At 38.8% G+C, this 22262-nt stretch overlaps 1 protein-coding gene across 4 annotated transcripts, besides 5 other annotated features; it reads left to right on the top strand.

Moving 5' to 3' along the window:
• Nucleotides 315-484: an enhancer, noted in NCBI's record as "active region_21660". NCBI's record gives its function as "activates an Ori minimal core promoter by ATAC-STARR-seq in GM12878 lymphoblastoid cells {active_cell/tissue: GM12878}" and the evidence as "EXISTENCE:reporter gene assay evidence [ECO:0000049][PMID:35858748]".
• HNRNPD (heterogeneous nuclear ribonucleoprotein D) lies at nucleotides 443-21936 on the top strand. 4 transcript variants are annotated; one of them, NM_031370.3, is made up of 9 exons: nucleotides 443-988; nucleotides 2850-2906; nucleotides 14795-14963; nucleotides 15614-15775; nucleotides 16990-17121; nucleotides 17539-17638; nucleotides 17751-17897; nucleotides 19033-19130; nucleotides 20280-21936. In NM_031370.3, the coding sequence occupies exons 1-8, from the start codon at nucleotides 756-758 to the stop codon at nucleotides 19098-19100; spliced, it is 1068 nt and encodes a 355-aa protein (NP_112738.1). In that variant the 5' UTR covers nucleotides 443-755; the 3' UTR covers nucleotides 19101-19130; nucleotides 20280-21936. The 4 variants fall into 4 exon arrangements, with proteins under 4 accessions (NP_112738.1, NP_112737.1, NP_002129.2 ...); NM_031369.3 differs by lacking the exon at nucleotides 2850-2906; NM_002138.4 differs by lacking the exon at nucleotides 17751-17897.
• Nucleotides 845-944: a silencer, noted in NCBI's record as "silent region_15528". NCBI's record gives its function as "represses an Ori minimal core promoter by ATAC-STARR-seq in GM12878 lymphoblastoid cells {active_cell/tissue: GM12878}" and the evidence as "EXISTENCE:reporter gene assay evidence [ECO:0000049][PMID:35858748]".
• Nucleotides 1845-1894: an enhancer, noted in NCBI's record as "active region_21659". NCBI's record gives its function as "activates an Ori minimal core promoter by ATAC-STARR-seq in GM12878 lymphoblastoid cells {active_cell/tissue: GM12878}" and the evidence as "EXISTENCE:reporter gene assay evidence [ECO:0000049][PMID:35858748]".
• Nucleotides 7893-8564: an enhancer, noted in NCBI's record as "H3K4me1 hESC enhancer chr4:83287023-83287694 (GRCh37/hg19 assembly coordinates)". NCBI's record gives its function as "activates a minimal SCP1, AML or CMV promoter by ChIP-STARR-seq in naive H9 embryonic stem cells {active_cell/tissue: H9 hESC(naive)}" and the evidence as "EXISTENCE:reporter gene assay evidence [ECO:0000049][PMID:30033119]".
• Nucleotides 11796-11845: an enhancer, noted in NCBI's record as "active region_21658". NCBI's record gives its function as "activates an Ori minimal core promoter by ATAC-STARR-seq in GM12878 lymphoblastoid cells {active_cell/tissue: GM12878}" and the evidence as "EXISTENCE:reporter gene assay evidence [ECO:0000049][PMID:35858748]".

The raw sequence follows: 22262 nt of genomic DNA, 5'->3' as shown, positions 1-22262 counted from the left end.
AGCCGCCGCAGGGTGTGAGCCTCCCCTCCCCCACCCGAACGCCGCAGCTGCACGGGGCACGACAGCCTTCGCAGAGGTGCAGCCACACCCCGGCCTAACGCTGCTGCTCCCGCCGCTACTGGAGTGGTGGGGAGGGGTGAGTGGACTCCAGGAATCCTCGGAAGGGCGGGGGCGGAGGCAGGGGGCCCCTCTAGCCGCTACTTCGAAACAGCACTCCTTGTTCTCGATGGTCCCCGCGCGACTGTCTTAGCTCACGACACTTCCGGTTCCTTTTAAAGGCCCCCAAGGCTGTGCAACGCGGAGCGTGAGAGGAAGGTATAAAGGGTAGCGAGAGGGCGGGACCGAGGAGGAAAGGGAAAAAAAAAAAACTAGGGGGATAGGGGTGGGGGGACGCGCGAAGGGCGCGCTCTCGCGTCACGTGACCGGGACGCGCCGTTCTTCCGTCGGCCATTTTAGGTGGTCCGCGGCGGCGCCATTAAAGCGAGGAGGAGGCGAGAGCGGCCGCCGCTGGTGCTTATTCTTTTTTAGTGCAGCGGGAGAGAGCGGGAGTGTGCGCCGCGCGAGAGTGGGAGGCGAAGGGGGCAGGCCAGGGAGAGGCGCAGGAGCCTTTGCAGCCACGCGCGCGCCTTCCCTGTCTTGTGTGCTTCGCGAGGTAGAGCGGGCGCGCGGCAGCGGCGGGGATTACTTTGCTGCTAGTTTCGGTTCGCGGCAGCGGCGGGTGTAGTCTCGGCGGCAGCGGCGGAGACACTAGCACTATGTCGGAGGAGCAGTTCGGCGGGGACGGGGCGGCGGCAGCGGCAACGGCGGCGGTAGGCGGCTCGGCGGGCGAGCAGGAGGGAGCCATGGTGGCGGCGACACAGGGGGCAGCGGCGGCGGCGGGAAGCGGAGCCGGGACCGGGGGCGGAACCGCGTCTGGAGGCACCGAAGGGGGCAGCGCCGAGTCGGAGGGGGCGAAGATTGACGCCAGTAAGAACGAGGAGGATGAAGGGTGAGTAAGGGGCATCCCAGGATAGTCAGGCCCAACTAGTCCCCCTCCCCCTCTTTATTCCCCCGCCATTAGGCCTGGTTCCCGCTCTCAGCCCGTTCTCCGGGCCCCCATGCAGCCTCCTTGCACTGGTCTCCCTTTTTCTATGTTGGGTTCCCCGGACCTTCATTTCCTTCTTCCTTTGCCTGCTTATCGCCCCCCTCCCCCATCACACACGTTTCCACCTTTAGCCGTCACCATGCTGCTCCTCGGCCCGCCCTCCTTTCCTCCCTCGCCATGGGTCTCCTCCCACCGACTTAGCCGCCAGGATTTTTTCCCGCCTGTCGTGGGGTACCTTTTTTCTTTCCATGCTGTCCCCTCTTTTTCCCTTTTTCTACAGTCTTGGGCATAAAAACACAGACACAAACAGCTTCTCTGTTTGTATTACTAAGGTTTATTTGGTGCTTCTCCACCATCCTGAAACGATGCGATTGTTTATAAGCACATGTTTTGGGGAACGCGTAGGCTGTCCACCTCTGCCTCTCCCTTGTCGGCCTTAGGCCGACTGTTTTCTTGGGATTTTGAATAAGTTTCGCCTAAGGATTTACTCATTTTCTCCACCATACGCTATCGCACAATGGCATACTCATACAGGCCCTACATTTTGACATGCAGACCAAATTGGGTCTGGTGAAATGCTCCGAGTTTCTTGTTGGTACATTGGTTTTGCTCCGCGGGCTCTGGTTAAGTTCTTAGTCGATCGGGCCTGCACTTGACTGGAGCTGTTCCTATCTCCGGCCTAGCATCTACCCTTCCCCCACCCCACTGAGTTATTCTAACCGCGCACCCTTTTCGCGCCCTCAGCTATTGGGTTCCCCAACTGTTAGTACAGATTGTACCTTACTTTTTATGTGCAACCTAATTTTTTACAACCCCCAGCCCCCTTTTTTTCCCGGTGCCCAGGATCCTATTTTGGTGTCTTGATATCTGTTTCCCGCCCACTAAGGGAGGCCTGTAGTCCTCTTAAGAGAAACAAATCCTGTATTGTGCTATGGGATACTTTTTTTTTCTTTTTGGTGCAAATTTCTTAGTATTAACTTGCTTCCTCCAATTGAAATAACAGTTGTATATACTACCTAAATCTGCATTTAGTGTATTAAAATGCAGCATTTGGGATTGGGAACATAATACGGGAGTTAGCAGGAGGGACTAAATCAGGTTTCTTGGTTGAGTTTTCTTAGCTCCGATTACTGACCGATGATCGTGGGTTCACGCTTCCATTCCTTTTTGTAATGGGGAGGGGTGTGTGTGTGTCTGAATTTTTTTTTAACTGTAAAGAGAAAGGTGTTGGTGGATATAACAAGATGTCGCTTTAATCTAGTATTAGAAAACACGATTTCCTTTACTGAGAAAGAGCCCAGGATTTGGAGGGAAAGTTGGGAGGGGAGAAGCACTTTGGAATATAGGGTTTATTAAGCCCAGCCTAGGCAGATTCTTGTCAGGCTGTTTGATGATAGTGCTGGTTTTGGGGGAGTGGTGGTGGGAAGGGAAGCAAACTTTTAAAAATTAAACAGAACCAACTCGAATTGTATATAGCTTATTTGAGAAAGGAAGATGTTAGATATTTGGAAACTTAAAACCTTTAACATTTTGGTTTTCGTTTGCTGAATTCTGTTCTTTGGACAGAGGCACCAAAATGATTAATTGTATAACTTCCTGTTTGGGGCAGGCTTTCTGTTAGCCCTGATAATTCAAATCGCAAAGCAGCTGACTTTATAGTTACCTACTGTTGAAGTGTAAATGAATTAAAGTTTTTAACCCTAACAGTGTCAAAAACTAAAACTAGAATTTTGATTGGTTGCTGTACCGGTTGTTAATTCCCTAGCCATTCAAACTCCTCCCCACGACACTCTGAAGCAGCGACGGCACAGCGGGAAGAATGGTAAAACTTTTAAATTTTATTTCTGTATTATAAAGGTTTCAGTAGTCATAATATGTAGAGGCTGTGTATTGGTTAGTTGCCCATTGATCCCCAGGAAATTCTAGACCATAGTACATACAGTAGGTTTGTACCTGGGATATATACCTTTTATAGGCATCATGTGTAATCTTTGGGCAAAATTGATGCCGTTACATGGTATTTGGTCTGTGGTAATGCATGTAGTTGCAGTTTGGCAATTTAAGCTAAACAATTAGTAACGATATTTTTATATCGAGCAAGAAAAAATATTACCGTAATCTTCACATTTGATTTATTTTAAGATGAAAAATATTTTTGTTGGAATTTAAGTTTAATGGCTAAATATGAAGACTCCTTGATATAAAATATTGTGTTTAAAATGTCATGCATGTTATACTGAAATATTCTGGAGATGTCTGAAGCAGTTCTTTAAGCAGCACTGTGTATTATGGAAAAATGTTTGTCTTTTACCTAGCATATTTGTAAATAGACCTTTAATAAGAAGTGTGTGTGTGTGTGTGTGTGTGTATATATATACCATTAAAAGGTGGGCTAATGTGGCTTTCCACTACAGCTCTTACCAGATTTTTTATTTTCAGTGTGATTTGGCTGGAATATTAATAACAGTTGGTTGACATGTATTCACAATTGCATGACTTCTCTTTGGAGGCTGGTAGGTTGAGTATTGTTCTTTTTATCCATCCTTTCCCCTCCCCTAAATGTCAGTCTTTCTGCTTTTAGGATTATATTTGAATTTTCAGGGGTTTATACACCACCACTGGAGAGTAGAAGGCCACTAACTTGCAGGCAGTTAACTTATATCTTTACAAGCTACATTCTATTTTAAGAGCCTATTTAGGGTAACATTTAAAGATTTGCTTATCACTGTATTCTCATCCACTGAAATCAGTCCAGCTTTACCTTGGAGAAAAAGCAGATGGGAAACAGGCAAGGGGAAAAGCAAAAAAGAGGAAAAAAAAAAGACTGGGGTCACAGTTTCGATGAATGTTATTCCCTGTATTTGGTGAGTGGTGGGCACTAGCAGCTCAATTTCACTGCTAGCTAATAGTGGCAAATTAAGATTAAACTATAAACTATTTGACATTACTCCATTATGTATTTTGAGTCTCATGTAATTGTTTCCAGTGATTTGAAATGACCATAAACTTAAATTTGAAGGTCAGTGTTTTGACTCTTCGAAGTAATTACACTTGACCTGCTACCTAAAACGATGTAATATTACAACTTTTTTGAATAATCTCAGGAAAAATGGAGAAATGTTTATATTCATAGTTAATAAACATTCTAGATAGTAACCAACTGTCATTTACTGAAAATAAAATTTTACCCAGGTTTATTTTATTTTTGAGACGGAGTTTAGCTTTTGTTGCCCAGGCTGGAGTGCAGTGGTGTGATCTTGGCTCAGCGCAACCTCCACCTCCCAGGTTCAAGCAATTCTCCTGCCTCAGCCTCCAAAGTAGTTGGGATTACAGGCATATTCCACCATGCCTGGCTAATTTTGTATTTTTAGTAGAGACAGGGTTTCTTCATGTTGGTCAGGCTGGTCTCGAACTCCCGACCTCAGGTGATCCGCCTGCCTCGGCCTCCCCAAGTGCTGTAATCACAGGCGTGAGCCACTGCGCCCGGCCTAGCCAGGTTGATTTTAAAATTACACTTAAAAATAATGTTCTCATTTTTAAGGGCTCTAATATTTGACTTTTCTTAACTTTCCAATTATGCAGCCCTATCCTGTTCCAGACGTTAAGGCTTTCTTTTTGAATGAAAAACTTTCAGACTTTTTTCTCTCTCTTTTTTTTTTTTTGGTGTCTGCACTCCCCACCGTATCTGTCCCTTCCTCTTTCTCCCATTTTGAGGGATATTATAAGGGCAACAGTTTTATAGTCTCAATATTGAGGGTAAGACTGGTTAATAGAGTATCCAAATTGAATTTATTAAACACAGTTCTGTGTGCATTTCCTTCTGCAAATCTGAGAATAAAGTGATTACAGTTTCATCCTAAAATACTTTAAAAATCAGTTGGTTTTAGAAATAGGTTTTTTTCCTTTTGCATGTAAGAATGGACAGCTATTTTTAGGAAGGCATGCCTGTTACACCTCTAGTGGATGTTTCTACAGTTTACTATGGGACTTTAGAATAAGTAATTATTTCCATAGTATGCCCTCCTGAGTTCACTTTGATTTACTCTTTCCCACATTAACATCCGTAGTTTTTACTTATAAGCATTGGAATTTCTCATTTTACTTTGTGGTGTGGACCCATTCTGTTCTCTGCAGTGCTGCAGTTCATTTGGGGTAGGTACTTTAAAATTATTTAGTGTCTGGCAAAATATACATGCCATGTAGCAAGCTCTCTGAGGGCAGAGTTTTTAAAGTTTAAAAATCAATGGAAACTACAATGTTGTGTTAACTTTGAGATAGTTTTACAAGGTAGGTACATAGACTTTCCTGCATTGGATTGGGTAGGAAGCAAAAAAGTCCCCCCATTCACTTAGCCAAAGTCCAGCAATGCTTCTTTAATAACAGGACAGTAGATATTGTCCTGTTAATGGTTAGTGTATAATGAGCCCAAGTGTGATTCTTCCCATTTGGGAATTCTGTGAATCCTGCTGTAGGTTGTTGCCTGTCTGATTATAAAAGACTAGGCTCATGTTTTTGCTTTAAATGTTTGAGATTATGGTCTTATACCTTAGTGCTTCTGGGGCAATCTGAACATTGTTTGCTTTGTAAAATAATTTCTTTTAGAGTAGTCTCATGCCAAATTTACTGGCCTTTGATTCAGTACAGTTGGGTTTACTGTATGTAGTAAAGTTGAGACCCTGCGTAGATTGGTCTCAGTGTTAGCATTCTTGGGAGCCTTTGACAAATTTCCCGAGTTAAAAATTCCAGAAATTGATGTCCCCAGATCTTTAGATGAACATTTAAGCGAAGAGTATTAAATACTTCTCACTGTAAATTTTCATCTATTATGAAAGATACTAAAAATAATCTCGTTTTTTAAGTTTGGAATTGGGAGAATGTCATTGAAGTTTTTCAGTGCTTGTTTTTGAGATACACATACTTTGCCTTAAATCTGGGGTTTTTTCCCTTAAGCCATGTGACCCTTTCTACAAACTCAGTGTATGTTTTTAATATTTCCTGGGTACTCTGCTATCGTCCTAATACATAATATTAGGGTAAGGCTGCCCTAATACGAGAACATTTTGAGTATACTATTGAGTATACATTTGAGTATACATATTGAGTATACTATTTATGCCAACGTGAAGGATGTGATTAGTTTTAGCCTTCAAGTCATAATACATACCATGCTTGAAAGCATTTAAAAAGGAATAGAGTAATTTTTTTTCCCATTCCACTTGGAAGCTGTGTACCTCAAGTGTGTGCACATTTACAAATGGGTGAAACATAACTTATGTTAGTCCAAGCTTGATTTGACTTCAGTTCTGCTTCAACGTTTTAGTAGATAGGGCACTGAACTGGATGCTGAAAGCGTGGGATCTCTTTCTGTTGCTTCACTTCCAACAGTGTGGTTTCAGGTAATACGACATGTTTGTTACTTGGTTTGCTGATCTATGTGTTGGAAACAATGCTCACCACAGGAGGATTGACTACATAGCCTGCTTTCATAGCTTGTGTGTATTTATCCAGTGCCCTAATAGTTGATACTGCCAGTGATTTACTCCTGTGGAGTAAAGGTAAGCATGTTTTAGTTTCTGGAGTATTATATTGTACGTTGGAGCTAGGTATTTAAGAATATTTGGGGGTGGGGAGGGAAGACTCCAATTTACTGGTGGTGCTTGGCCAGTAATCAAGGTGACAGTTTAAGTATTGGGTCTTGCACTGTAAACTCCTGCTTATCTAGACTTCAGACTACCACAGAGCCCACACAGCCAGGAAGTCTGTCTCCCCATTTAGTCTTATGAGCAAGATAGATGAAGCCATGAGAAAATATACTCAAAAAGCAACCAACAGACAATGTCATGGAATGAATCTCCTACAGATTTTTCCTTACACTTTTGAAAAGTAACATGATTTTAAAACGTTGGAAAATTCATCAAGGTACAAATCATTTTCTGACTTCAGCATTGATACCTAAATTGATTTCCAGTACACAGTTTTATAGAATTGTGAATATGTAGTAATCTCAGTTAACCAGAACCTTAACCTTCAGGTTAAGGAAAATACCTATTCCTTAACCTCTAGGTAAATGGGAGTTTACCTTACAAAGCTGATTGAGAGCTTATTTAAAACGTAAACATACAAGATGTCATTGCTTCCTTGTAGTGAAGTGAAAAGGAGGTATTGGATTAAGCATTTAAAGTTAATTAAAGTAGTGGCTCGTGCCTGTAATCACTGGCTACTCAGAAGTCTTGAGGTATGAGGATCATTTCATGCCAGGATTTCTAGACCAGCTAGGCAACATAATATGACCCCTGTTTCTTTAAAAAAAAAAAAAAAAAAAAGGCTAGTGTGTTGGGGGGTGTGTTTGTAGTTGTAGTTACATCTACTCAGGAGGCAGAGGCAGGAGAATGTGTTGAGCCCAGGAAGGAGCTCAGGGCTGCAGGAAGCTATGATGGAGCCACTGCATTTTGATAGTGAGACCTGGTCTCTTAAAGTGTTTTATTTTTAGGCCAGGCGTAGTGGCTCACACCTGTAATCTCAGCACTTTGGGAGGCCAAGATGGGTGGATCACCTAAGGTCAGGAATTGGAGACCAGCCTGGCCAACATGGCGAAACCCCAGCTCTACTAAAAATACAAAAATTAGCCAGGTGTGGTTACATGCGCCTGTAGTCACTCAGGAGGCTGAGGCGGGAGAATCACTTGAACCCTGGAGGCGGAGGTTGCAGTGAGACAAGGTTGCACCACTGCATTCCAGCTTGGGCAACAGAGCAAGACTCCGTCTCAAAAAAAGAAAAAAAAAGTTTATTTAAAAAACTGTCATGTTGGCCGGGCGCGGTGGCTTATGCCTGTCATCCCAGCACTTTGGGAGGCTGACGCAAGCGAATCACCTGAGGTCAGGAGTTCGAGACCAACCTGGCCAACATGTTGAAACCCTGTCTCTACTAAAAATACAGAAATTAGCCGGGCATGATGGTGGGCATCTGTAGTCCCATCTACTTGGGAGGCTGAGGCAGGAGAAGAGCTTGAACCCGGGAAGCAGAGGTTGCAGTGAGCCAAGATCGCGCCACCGCACTCCAGCCTGGGCGACAAAGCGAGACTCTGTCCCCCTCCCAAAAAAACTGTCATGTTTCATTTATTAGATGTTTATTTTTTCAACTTCGCTTTTTAGTAGTCATTTAGTTAGGTTCATTCTAAAGTGTGAAGTAATGAGATTTAATACAGAGAAGTCTCTGAAAATGTTTGGTCCATTGTATATTAGTCTTGAATAAATGGAATTCTTTTTCACACTTACCTTGAAAATGTCATCTGTAGAAAGCTGGGGGAGAGGAATACCTATTCTTTAATGATGGGGAAATAATACCAAAATTTATATTTTTATTGACTAAAGTGTTTTTTGGGGAAGATTTGTTATTGGCTAACCTTAATGTCTCATTAGTTTTAAATAGTTAAAAAAAGTGGGCTGGGTGCGGTGGCTCACGCTTGTAATATAGCACTTTGGGAGGCTGAGGTGGGCAGATTGAACCCAGGAGTTCCAGACCAGCCTGGGCAACATGATGAGATCCTGTCTCTACAAAAAAAAAAAAAAAAAAAAAAAATTAGCTGGGCCTCGTGGTGTGCACCCATAGTCTCAGCTACCCAGGAGCTTGAGATGGGAAGATTGCTTGAACTTGGGAGGCAGAGGTTGAAGTGAGCCAGGATCACACCATTGCACCACAGCCTGGCAATAGAGCGAGACTCTGTCTCAAAAAAGTGGTTTTCATGAATTTTATACCAGATCAGATCTAAAAAGGCTGGTTAGTATTTGAACTCGATGAAAGCTTGTCAAGCTCTCTCCCAAGGTAGTTTTCATACAACTTGTAAAATACCCTAACGTGTGATATTATCTAGTTGCATTGTAACCTCCTCCCTTCCCCTTAGGTAACTAGTGACTTAGCTTTAGTTTGTCATTTTAGGATTTTAGAAGAATAATTATGATGGATAAAATACTGGAAAAATTCAGTAAGGATTTAATGGTGTGCTTGAGTAACATTACTTTAAAAGATGACAGTGATTGGTCATTTATGTTTTATACCTGAAATGTATATCAGGTTGACATTCTGTTGTATTTTTTAAACTGTCAGAACTTGTTATAAAGCCATGTATGTAAGATCATAAGTTGTTAGGAAGTGTTTAAAAGTTAAAGGATTGGCTGGGTGTGGTGGCTCATGCCTGTAATCCTAGCACTTTGGGAGGCTGATCGCTATGTCCAGGAGTTCTGTGACTAGCCTGGGTAACAGAGCAAGATCTCGTCTCTAAAAAAGTAAAAATAATACGAAGTTATAGAACATAGAAAAAGAATACTATTCCAAAATTGGGAGTGAGTATAATGGCTAACTTTTTACCTTGAATAAGGTGTTTGACAATAAAGACTTATTAGGGGAGGTATCTTGGAATAAAATAGTTAATATTGACTGGGAATGTTAAAAACCTAGTGACCTAAATAGTCCAGAGAATAAGTTTATTGATGGGGAAAAGCCAGGATTATTAAATCGGAACATTTTCCACCAGCCAGGATTGCTCCATGTATATTTCCTTTTATGTTTTAAATTATTCTTTACTAAAATTACTGGCATAAATGTAGGGTAGACCAAGTCATCAAGGTGATTTTGGAAGCTACATTTAAAGGGTCTTAGTTGAAATACCACCTAATTTTTAGTTTATATATTTTTTTACATGGACTATTTAAAAATTTCTGGGTTATTTCAAGTTGGCAGCATTGAAAATATTAGAATATGTTTATATAAAACTCATTGTGGCCTTTTCCTTTTAATGTTGGAAAGTTTATAAAGCCTATGCAGTTTTAAAAAATTAAGCCATTGAGTAAATAAAAAGTTTGCTTTATTAAATTATGTTTAGATAGTGCTTATAGTGCTTTACCCCTTCAAAATAGTAACTTCTATCAATCATTTAGGATGTGTGTCAGACTATTCTGTGTCCTTTAAGTGTGTTAACTAGTTTTAACCCTCTGCAAATATCTGAGGTATGCTCTTTTTACAGATGGGAAAACAATCTTGGACTTTAATATTTTTTCTTAATGTTACACAATTAGTAAGAGGCAGGGGGCCAGGTGGAGTGGTTCATGTTTGGAATTCCAGCACTTTGGGAGGCTGAGGTGGGCAGCTTGAGCCCAGGAGTTGGAAGACTAGCCTGGGCGACATAGTAAAACCTGATCTCTGCAAAAATATTAGCCGGGTGTGTTGGTGGGTGCCTGTAGTCCGAGCTACTGGTGAGGCTGAGGTGGGAGGACCAACTGAGCCCAGGAGGTCAAGGCTGCAATGAGCTGTCATGGAGCCAGTGCACTCCAGCCTGGGAGACAGAGTGAGACCCTGTCTTAAAAAAAGGCAGCAGTAGGGTTTAAACCCCGGCATTTTGTCTTTATTGCCTCTAAACTTAACTTGCTTTAAAAGATGATAAAATGTCCCACAAAGGAGCCTAAATTCCTGAATGATACTGCATATCACTTGGATAGTTATCTATGCTGAGTTGTATAACTTTATGCTTGTCATTTAATTTTACAATTTGGTGGAAGCCAATGTGAAAGCAAGGAGACTTCTGTTGTGGAGTAGGTGTTTTAAACTGAATACCATATTCAGCCTTGGGGTGCTGAATATTTAGTTCACAGCTAGGATTAAGATACTCAACTATGTTAATAAAATACAGTAGATGAAGTCCTGCATTTTAATTGGGATTGATTCACTTAGAACTAAGGATCAAAGTTTAAACTTATTGCAGCGTTAGGGGCCATCTTTGTTGCTAGTTGAACAAGTCTTGGTCGTTTTTAACATGGCTCCTTAGGGTATTTTCTGAAGTTCTGTCTACTTCATTGGAAAGTGTTTGCACTACGCAGGAGTGACAGCAATATGAAATGCTTTGTATTCAAGGCAGCAGAGGTAATCTGGACAGACAGTACATGTGCTTTAAAAGCAAGATACAGTCATAGAAAATATGTAGATAATTTAGCCGGGCATGGTGGCTCGCGCCTCTAATTTGGGAGGCCGAGGCAGGTGGATCACGAGGTCAGGAGTTCGAGACCAGCCTGACCAATATGGTGAAACCCCATCTCTACTAAAAGTGCAAAAAAAAATTAGCCTGGCATGGTGGCATGCACCTGTTATCCCAGCTACTCAGGAGGCTGAGGCAGGAGAATTGCTTGAACCCGGGAGGTGGAGGTTGCAGTGAGCCTAGATCATGCCATTGCACTCCAGCCCGGGCGACAGAGTGAGACTCTGTTTAAAAAGAAAAAAATAAGTATTTGTAAATGTATATATATATATATATACACACACACACACACATATATATATAAAATCATTATGCCATCAGTTTGAGGGAGAGCATGTATGCCAACATTGTAGAGACTAAGTGCCCATTTATCCATAATTAAGATAAGCAGACTTTTCCCCATTGTACTATAAAGTTAGAGTTTGGGGCTGGGTATGGTAGCTTCCGCCTGTAATCCCAGCAGTTTGGGAGGCTGGAGCGGGCGGATCACTTGAGGCCAGGAGTTCAAGACCAGCCTGGCCAACGAGGGGAAACCCCGTCTCTACTAAAAATGCAAAAATCAAGTCAGGCGTGGTGGTGCAGCCTGTAATCCCTCCCACGGAGGCTGAGGAATGAGAATCACTTGAACCTGGGAGGCAGAGGTTGCAGTGAGCTGAGATTGTGCCACTGCGCTCCAGCTTGGGCGACAGAGTGAGACTGTCTCAAAAACTAAGCAACCAAAAACAGAAAAAGATGGAATGGAATTAATATGTTCCATTTAGTAAAGATGGAATAGAATTGGTCCAGTTTGTGTTCATTGTAGCATATTCACCTATTTGGTCAGCAACCATTTTTTTTTTTTTAAAGCCTAAGCATACCCTGAGAACAACAACCTTTTTTGATTAGAACAGAAGAAAAAGCCAGAGTGTTCTTGGGCTGCCAAAATATTAATACGTTTGTCTCAAAGACGAGCCACTTAGGTGCTTGCTTAGAGACTTCTACTTTACACAGAATTTGAAAAGTTTGACAGCTGGCTACTTACTCTGCAAAACGGAAGGGAGACTTTTTAGAACAGCAACTGGTGATCTGGCAAAAATGAAAAGTAGAACTTGTGAAGAAATGAGATGGACTTGGTGTATTAATAGCTAATTTTAGAAGACCCTGTGGATATTCTAAATCAGCATAATAGTGATGTCTGAGCCATAGTGTTAAATTATGATTACTGTATTTGAAGTATAAGAAGGCAGAAAAGTGTGATGCTGTTAGAAAAAAATCTCATTTCAAATGATTGAAGGTTAAAAACAATTGGGGAAAGATTAGAGAGGGCAGGCGGTGCTTTAAGGGAGGTGGAATAATACTTGGCTCCTTATTCTCCAAAAGTGCTGGATAGCTGAAGTTTTTAATATTCTGGATAATTGATATTTGATTATTAGTTTAGGAGGGATAGCATCTTCAGTGAACCCTTGTAGCTCTAAGGTAGGCATATTAAACAACTACCATACTAAAGGTGGGGAGTACGTTTGGAGAGCACTTTGCTGGGCCAGCTGATGATATGCTTAGGTGATATTTAAGAAAATCTGCTTCTTGTCTGAAAAACATTTGGGGCTTCAGAATAATACCACATACCTCATTCTTGGTGTTTTAATTTATTTCTTTGTAATTGTTTTCTGTTTCTTAATAATTTTAAATTAAGGGTATTTTCCCAATATAAACATTGCTTTTTGGTTAAATAAAATCAAAACTAGTTCTGTCTCCATATCTGAATAGACCAGACAGAGAATTTTCTTGCCTTTCAACAGCTTAAAAAATGTTTTTGTTAGAACTGTTGTGTTCAGGCTGAAATACTTTCAAAGTTTGTTAGTTATTATTGAGAAATTTCTGTAATAATCATGGAAAGGGTAATTTAATAGTTAAATCTCAACTTAATTGAAGTTATTTCTGTTGTGGAACTTATGGTCATCTTAGCAAGAGGTCATTGCTTTATAGTCAGTTCTCTTTCTCATTAAAAATATAGTGTACTCACCTTTACAGGGTGAATGTTGGTAAATAACTTCTGTCTGTGAAGGAAGTATTCTGGACCTGTAAGTTAAAAATAAGGTGTTTATAGCAAATTATGTAAATAAAGATTGTATATTAGAAGGTACACACTATTCAAATTAAAGAAAATGTATATTGAGAAAATAACTCAAATTTCTTCCATGAAATTGGCAAGAAGTAAACATTTCAAATACACAAAACATTATGGGTATTTTTGTTCATTTGATTATAAAATGCCAAAGTTGTTTTATAAATGCTACTTCAAGCCTGGAAACTTTGAGGAAGTCCTGAACATTAAGCATATAAATGGCCCAGCTCTAGAATACATGTAAGTTGAAAAGCTAACCTGAAGTGGGAAGCGCAGTATATACCTAAGACTTACTCTGCACTGAAAGTTTGCTTTGTCACTAGAAGTAAAACAAGACTGTGGTAGGATAGTAAGATCAGTAACACCTCAGTTAATCAGGTATCTTGGAGGAAGTGAAGAAAGACCCTAATTCAAGGGACAGTTAATTGGCCTTTTATTCCAAGAATGGGCCTTAGTGGCAGTATCTTAAAAGCCCACAAGATGGAGATGTTTCCTAATGAAAGGCCTTTAATTTCTTTATAGAGCTGAGTTAGTGTCACATCCCAGTCCCCACCCATGACCCTTCCCCAGTTAAAAAGAAGAGAAAATGTTGAGCAAGTCTGATTTGATTCCCATGGTGACATTTTTAGCCATTATGTAACAAATTCTGACAGTTTACCCTTAAAATTAAAAACCTCCAGTCCTGTCTTTTTAAAGGGTAGAAAGAAGGTTAGGTATAGGATAGCTTTTTATTTATTTATTTATTTATTTTTGTACAAAGGGAGCCTATGTAAAGCTGCCAGATCTGAACTTTCTGGTGTTTTGCTGTAATGTTAGTAAGATTTCGCCTTAAAATATTTTATTTTGAGTATATACGTTTGGTCTTAGAGTGTCTTGGTGGATTTCCGCTTACCACCCATCACTTTCTGCATTTTAAAGGCTTAAATACTTTATTGCTGGTTAACTGAGGTTCTACTGTAAACGAATCATCTAAGTTAATTAGTGGATTGTACTTCAATGGATAATTTTCACTAAATTGTTTATATTGCACATTACTTTTGTCTTAAGGACTCTTAGCACATCAAAAAAATTGGCTCACAACTTAATTGTGAGATGTAGAATTTTCCATTTTATGTGCTAAGAGTTTTGTTAATGAGAGAACTGTTAAAATAGAAAAGGAGCTTCAGCATAGACACCAATGCTGGTTGCTGAGATCAGTGGGGAACTGCATAGCATTTTAACAAGTTTAATGAACATTTGGAAGAGAAATTTGAAGCTAAGATTCTGGTTTTTTTGCTGTTAACTTTTTAATCTAAGGAAAACTTTTATGTACAGTATTTTTACTTTGGGTATATGTTTATCTTTTAGCAAGTTGAAAGACTTAATTTGCTGCTTGCTCACTATTTTGTAATTATTTGGGAGCAGCAGTAATAAGCCAGCTTTTTGGAATAGGATGTTCCTGATGTGTGGTTATGTAGGAAGAATGATGTTTTAATATACTGCCCAGTAAACTGGTGCAGTTTGGAAAAGGTGTGTTATTGATGTGGATAATATTTAAGGCAATTTTTTTTAAGCATTTTAATACTGCTTTTTGTCTTTACAGGAAAATGTTTATAGGAGGCCTTAGCTGGGACACTACAAAGAAAGATCTGAAGGACTACTTTTCCAAATTTGGTGAAGTTGTAGACTGCACTCTGAAGTTAGATCCTATCACAGGGCGATCAAGGGGTTTTGGCTTTGTGCTATTTAAAGAATCGGAGAGTGTAGATAAGGTAGTGTGTTACGTGTTCTGATCAGTTAATAATATAAAATATTAACATATGGATAGTTTGATACAATGAGTTTGCCTATTTGTGGTTCCCCATTTTGATAGTATAGGAAGGAAGAATAGTTCTTGCCCCAATACGTTTTATGAAGATAGAGGTAGGTTCAGGAATTATTTCCTGAATAATTTGTGTTCCAGGCTCTGCTAAATTTTGAAATTAACTTTAAAGATACTATAGACTTAAAGATGCCTAGTTAAAAGGATGTGTTTTAGCAATTCACAGAAGTCCATATTTTGAAATTTTGTTAGGCAAGCAACTTTTAACTGAATCATTATTTTGATCCTGGGCTAAAGGGAAGTAGCAGTTATGTTTGTATATAGTGCTAAAGGGAAGTAGCAGTCATGTTTGTATATATTGAAGGTAATGGTTATCTAGTAATTGGTTAAATTTGTGTATGTCCTACCATTCTTACCTTTAGATTTAAACAGTATATGTTAGTTGATGTTACATCACCACCATGACTTGACAGTTTAATCTTGAGCAAGTCAACATATGCTTGGCATTATCTGTATTTATAGTTATTTTTAAGTAAGTTAATAGTCTCTGAACTTCAGTTAAGATATATATTTTTTAAATGAAAACTTCAATTTCCTTAGGTCATGGATCAAAAAGAACATAAATTGAATGGGAAGGTGATTGATCCTAAAAGGGCCAAAGCCATGAAAACAAAAGAGCCGGTTAAAAAAATTTTTGTTGGTGGCCTTTCTCCAGATACACCTGAAGAGAAAATAAGGGAGTACTTTGGTGGTTTTGGTGAGGTATGTTATAAATGTTTTGACCCAGTTTATGTCAAAATTAGTGTGAATGTGATTGTCCCATTATGGACTCAGAGTCACTTGGCTTTTCAAAGCTGTTAGGGTAGATTATGTGATCTGTTTTGGAATAAGGATATTGTAAATACTTCATTAGCAGGTCTTTGAAGGTTGGATAATGTGTTTTTCTCATTGAGCACCTACTCTATGCAGAGTATTGCTGGGGTAGAGTATACAAAGATGAAATAGACAAACATTCTTAAATACAGACAATTAAGAGGAAGAAATCTAGATTAGAAGGAGACTTTTGTTGAAAATAGGAAAGGAATTAAGAATAGGGTGTAGTGCCTTATCAGTTGAAATGCATGTGTAAGTGCAAATTTAATGAGACTAATCATTATAGACTCATTAGTGAGGCTGGACGCGATGGCTCATGCCTGTAGTAATCCCAGCACTTGGGAGGCCGAAGTGGGTGGATTACTGGAGACCAGGAGATGAAGACCATCCTGGACAACATAGTGGGACCCCGTCTCAATTAAAAGTAAAACAAACTTAGACTCATTAGTGAAATAGGTAGATAATAGAGGTTTCTTTTATGAATTAATGAAAGTTGAGAAATTTGTGGCCTTGGGCTCCAGATACGTCCCACAGACATTTATTGCTTGATTGAAACAATAAGTGCTTTTTTAGTGTTGAGGATTTGAGATATTGCCCACAAAACTCAGTATCTAGCTTTTTAAAAAATACTTGCAAGAGCACGCAACATGGGAACTGACGCTGCCCTCCTGTACGGCAGCATCTCTCAAACTGAGTAGTAGCTTCCATCTTGGTTTGGGCATATGCTCTCCAGTTTTTAGTAGTCCTCACCACCCTACTTCCTGTTTTCTCTCAAATACATTTTTATTCTGTTTTTCTTAGATTTGACTGTTTTCTTCTTGTTCTTTGTGGGCATTTGAATTTGTGACCCTTGAGTTAGGTAGTAAATGTCAGTGCGTGGTAAAGCTTATTTTTGTAAATAGTTGTGAAGACCTTAGATGGAATGGGTGTTCTAATTTGAAGAATTCCTTAAAAGGATTAGAATAAATAGGGAGAAACAGGAGACTAGAACTTCAGTGCCAAATACATGTTTTCTTTGTGTGTTTTCCCCCCTCTAAACTTGTGTTTCTTTTAAGGTCAATAAAATGCATGTTAGCATATTAAAATTTGTTTTTTAATACCAGGTGGAATCCATAGAGCTCCCCATGGACAACAAGACCAATAAGAGGCGTGGGTTCTGCTTTATTACCTTTAAGGAAGAAGAACCAGTGAAGAAGATAATGGAAAAGAAATACCACAATGTTGGTCTTAGTAAAGTAAGTTAAGCATCCATTTACTTGTAGAGAAAACTAGCTGTTGTAAAGAGCTTAACCATTTATCTTTCTCTGTAAAGGCTTAAGTTCTTTGCATGCTTTAAAAACTTCTCATTGGTTACTTACCATTGACCAACTTTTTGTGGGGAGCAGGATGGACACATTTGTTAGTGTTTTTGTCTAGGCTTTCACAAAAATAGTTTTTAGAACTTGACAAGTAAAATGAAGTAACATCACTAGCAAGTACTCATAAGTGATTACTCTTAAGTACTAAATATTGGTTTAATTAATAAACTGACTGAGGAAAGTTTCAAATTAGCCTACTCTATTTAAACATGTTGGCTATTCTGGTTATTAGAAACTTATTTAGCAACTTTTATTTTCTTGAGTCAGTTTAATAATGTAATTTTTCTCTTTTAGTGTGAAATAAAAGTAGCCATGTCGAAGGAACAATATCAGCAACAGCAACAGTGGGGATCTAGAGGAGGATTTGCAGGAAGAGCTCGTGGAAGAGGTGGTGGTAAGCTAGAGCCTAAGTTTACTCTATCTTAAGCTTTTCTGCTTTTTAATTATCCTGAAGTAAAGATCTTTGCTGATCTTCTGACTTTAGTGAACCTATTAATGTGCTGCAGGCCCCAGTCAAAACTGGAACCAGGGATATAGTAACTATTGGAATCAAGGCTATGGCAACTATGGATATAACAGCCAAGGTTACGGTGGTTATGGAGGATATGACTACACTGGTTACAACAACTACTATGGATATGGTGATTATAGCAGTAAGTACTATACTTTTTATATTAACTGCTATTTGACATTTATTTTGTACAAATTTGGATAGGCAGAAAGGTTAGTGTAGCCTTGCCAAGTGCAAATGTCTTCAGGTTTCAAATTCCTGGAAACTTGAAACTGCAGCCATTTTATTGCTTGGTTCCTCCCAGCCTATATCACACACACATTATAAGGGTAGGGTGTATGTGTGGTTCTATATATGTTTGCTGGGCATTTGTTTTACTTGGATTTAAAAATTTTAAGCTCAGTTCAGATCTTTTAAGCTCAAGGTATTCTAAATGTCACTTCTTGGACCAACCAATAATCTTGGCATGATGTGTCTTAATCCTATAAAACTGAATAATACCACATGTTGCCAGTTAAAACTAATAGTATCCTCGCTTTAGGATTATTAATGTAGAAACTCTTAAAACAGATGTTGAGCTTGATAGAACCAAAAAACTTGACTTTTAGACATGGAAAGCCCTGACTTCATTGTGCAACTAAGGTAGTTGCTCTCCACCTGATTTGTAGCAACTGTTGAGTCGTCAGGTAAAGGGTTCTACTAGAAGCAATCTTACATTTTTTTGGAGGAGAGTGGTTGCATTGGTTGCATTGTTTTAAGTGGTTTTTCTTTTCCTTCCTTGGTTAGACCAGTTCTTGGAGTTATATCCTTTCTTAGGTGACTAGGCCTGCTGCACAATAATAGGTTAATTAAAGTCAGAAGAAGGTCAGCAAAGATGGATTGGGTGAGATTGGGGCCCTTTTCTTAGAAGGGCAGAGATACTAAGCACTGATTGTGGTTGACAATTTGTTCTAAATTTTAAGATATTTTTTGCTGGTGGTTGTGAAAGGGTCAGCTGTCCATCCTTTGAAACTTAAAACTTTTAAACTGTAAGGGTGAGGGGATTGTCTCCCATTTTATACAATAAGTCAAGTAATCAGCTCATTCTGAATGCCTGCCATTGTATGCATTCACTACATATTTGGTAAATTATTTGATAAATGATTGCTCAGGGTGAATTTTTCACACTTGGGAATTAAGCTACCCTTAATTTTTTGAGATTGTTTAAAATTAGGTACTGTTCTGATTATTAGTATGTAACCACTACCGTTCTGGTTCTAACACTTGTTTTATTTTAGACCAGCAGAGTGGTTATGGGAAGGTATCCAGGCGAGGTGGTCATCAAAATAGCTACAAACCATACTAAATTATTCCATTTGCAACTTATCCCCAACAGGTATGTTCTAAAAATAGTTTTTTTTTGTCATTTACAATAGTAGTTTTTATAATCTATATTGTTCATAAAACAATGCTTAATTTAAGAGTTTCACAGCACCCAGAAGTGCTTACCATATTATAACATAGTGACTTTCAAAGATATGTAACACAGGTGCTCTTAAGCTTTTGCCTTTTTGTCCTATTATTAACAAGTCAGTAAAGTTAACAGGTAAAGTACTGCTAATGGGTACAAATTAAGGAATTGCAGCAAAAAAGTATTGCCTACTAACTCTGACATTATACCTTGTTTGTACCCGCCAGCGGGAACTTCATTGCAGGCCCTGTGTCGCGCTGACTTCACGATTCTCACAGGCCCGCTCAATGCGGACAGGGTACGAGATGCTCACGCTCTCGAATGCTGCCGTTTGGTATGGTCTCTTCCAACATCCTGTATCAGCATTATAAAATAAAATGGATACTTCAAGCTTTGCCTTCACTTATTTCTTTGCTTTTTAAAAACTATTTGTAATGTAATTTTAATGCATTTTTTACAGGCCCAGTAATGGTTAAATACGTCAGCTTACTGAATAATTTTAACTATTTATTCTTCTAAGGATACAGCTTGTCTCTGGATTTTCCAGTCTTAATTTTATATTTTATTAATCTATTTTAATGCTTGCTTTTCCCATTTATAGACGTTGTAGCAGTAATTGCAAGAAGTTCTTGAGCTGAATTCCTGTTGTGACAACTTCCTATAATTACAGTAGATAACTTTTTCTTTTAGTCGTATATAACTTTTCTATAACTTGTGATGGACAAGAGATATGCTTATCCAATAAAATAAGCTTAAATATTAGATGCTCTTGGGTCAAAATGTCCTTTTACCAAATTGACCTTTTTATGAGTTCTTTGGGTAAATACTTTAAAGCTTTTTATATTTTAAAGAATACTTGTAAAAGCATATCACATCTTAAACCAGTGGTGCACATGTGGATTTACAGCTCATGGACTCTACTGTTCAGCTTTAATTTATAAAACATATCACACATTTAATGTTATACAGTATTTACATATAGTGGAACATAGGGATAACTCAGTTTTATGTAAATTTTTGTTAAGTGTTGTAGCCTGCCCAGAGTGACTTCTATTTTTTCTTCTTTGTCTCCAGGTGGTGAAGCAGTATTTTCCAATTTGAAGATTCATTTGAAGGTGGCTCCTGCCACCTGCTAATAGCAGTTCAAACTAAATTTTTTGTATCAAGTCCCTGAATGGAAGTATGACGTTGGGTCCCTCTGAAGTTTAATTCTGAGTTCTCATTAAAAGAAATTTGCTTTCATTGTTTTATTTCTTAATTGCTATGCTTCAGAATCAATTTGTGTTTTATGCCCTTTCCCCCAGTATTGTAGAGCAAGTCTTGTGTTAAAAGCCCAGTGTGACAGTGTCATGATGTAGTAGTGTCTTACTGGTTTTTTAATAAATCCTTTTGTATAAAAATGTATTGGCTCTTTTATCATCAGAATAGGAAAAATTGTCATGGATTCAAGTTATTAAAAGCATAAGTTTGGAAGACAGGCTTGCCGAAATTGAGGACATGATTAAAATTGCAGTGAAGTTTGAAATGTTTTTAGCAAAATCTAATTTTTGCCATAATGTGTCCTCCCTGTCCAAATTGGGAATGACTTAATGTCAATTTGTTTGTTGGTTGTTTTAATAATACTTCCTTATGTAGCCATTAAGATTTATATGAATATTTTCCCAAATGCCCAGTTTTTGCTTAATATGTATTGTGCTTTTTAGAACAAATCTGGATAAATGTGCAAAAGTACCCCTTTGCACAGATAGTTAATGTTTTATGCTTCCATTAAATAAAAAGGACTTAAAATCTGTTAATTATAATAGAAATGCGGCTAGTTCAGAGAGATTTTTAGAGCTGTGGTGGACTTCATAGATGAATTCAAGTGTTGAGGGAGGATTAAAGAAATATATACCGTGTTTATGTGTGTGTGCTTATTTGTTTGAATGATTTTATTTTCCATTTCTCAAAGGTTTTATTTTTTTGGTTAGGGCCTTAAAATTTCAGGACTGTGATTATTAGTATGTGTGCCTAAGGAACTTTTTGAGTCACTCTTAAGAAAGTGAAACTGAAGAGTCTAAGTGATAACTATAGGATTAAGTCAGAATTGTTTTTCCTGTCATTTGTTGGAAGCTTCTTGAGTTCTGTTATTAGCATTCAGGGAATTGATACCCATCAACTTGAATGGAAAATCGTTTGTAGGTATTACTTAAGTGAATGTTAAGAGTTCCACCCTGAGTGGTAATCTAAGGCTGTGCAGTCAGTTACTTCAGACTGCTCAGAATAGTTCATTAGAAAGGTAACAAATGAGAAATGTATTATTATACAGTTCTATAGTAGTGAAGTGATGGAATACCTTTCTTACTTTTGTGGAGTTACATCTGATGCTAAGAATTTGACCTCCAACTAAGCAAACATTTTAATGAGCAAAAGTTAGTGTTATTAAAGTTTTTTTATGATAGATCCAAATTGAGGACCTGTGTCCTGTTTTTATAAGATTGCAACCCAGCTATGCTCATTTGTTTATGTTTTGTATATGGCTGCTTTTGTGTTACAGTGGTAGAGTTTAGTAGTTAGGACAGAGACCTGCAAAGCAAAATAATTTACAGTCTGGCCCTTTACAGAAAAGTTTGCTGACTCATGGTCAAAATAAATGAAAATTTTTTGTGTTAGGGTTGTTAAGCTAGGGTTCTTTTTGGTATCATATGCTTATTTTATGTAAATCTCTCAATAAAAAATTATTTTTAAGAGACAGGGTCTCCCTCTGTCGTTCATGCTAGAGTACAGTGGCTCACTGCAGCCTCCAACTCCTGGGCTCAAGTGCTCCTCATTAGCCTCCTCAGTGATTGGGACTACAGGCGCATACCACTGTGCCCAACTAATATTTTTATTGTTTGTAGAGACAGGGTCTTGCTATGTTCCCCAGGCTGGTCTTGAACTCTTGGCCTCAAGCAATCCTCCTCCTCCTTCGGCCTCCCAAAGTGCTGGGATTATAGGCATAAACCACCGTGTTCGGCCTTCACATCAAAAACTTTATAAATGTGCGGGGAGGGGGTAAAAACAGATTGAATTAAAACC

Source organism: Homo sapiens, chromosome 4 (assembly GCF_000001405.40).
Source record: "Homo sapiens chromosome 4, GRCh38.p14 Primary Assembly".
Lineage (NCBI taxonomy): Eukaryota > Metazoa > Chordata > Mammalia > Primates > Hominidae > Homo > Homo sapiens.
This window is presented reverse-complemented; position numbering and strand designations above follow the sequence as displayed.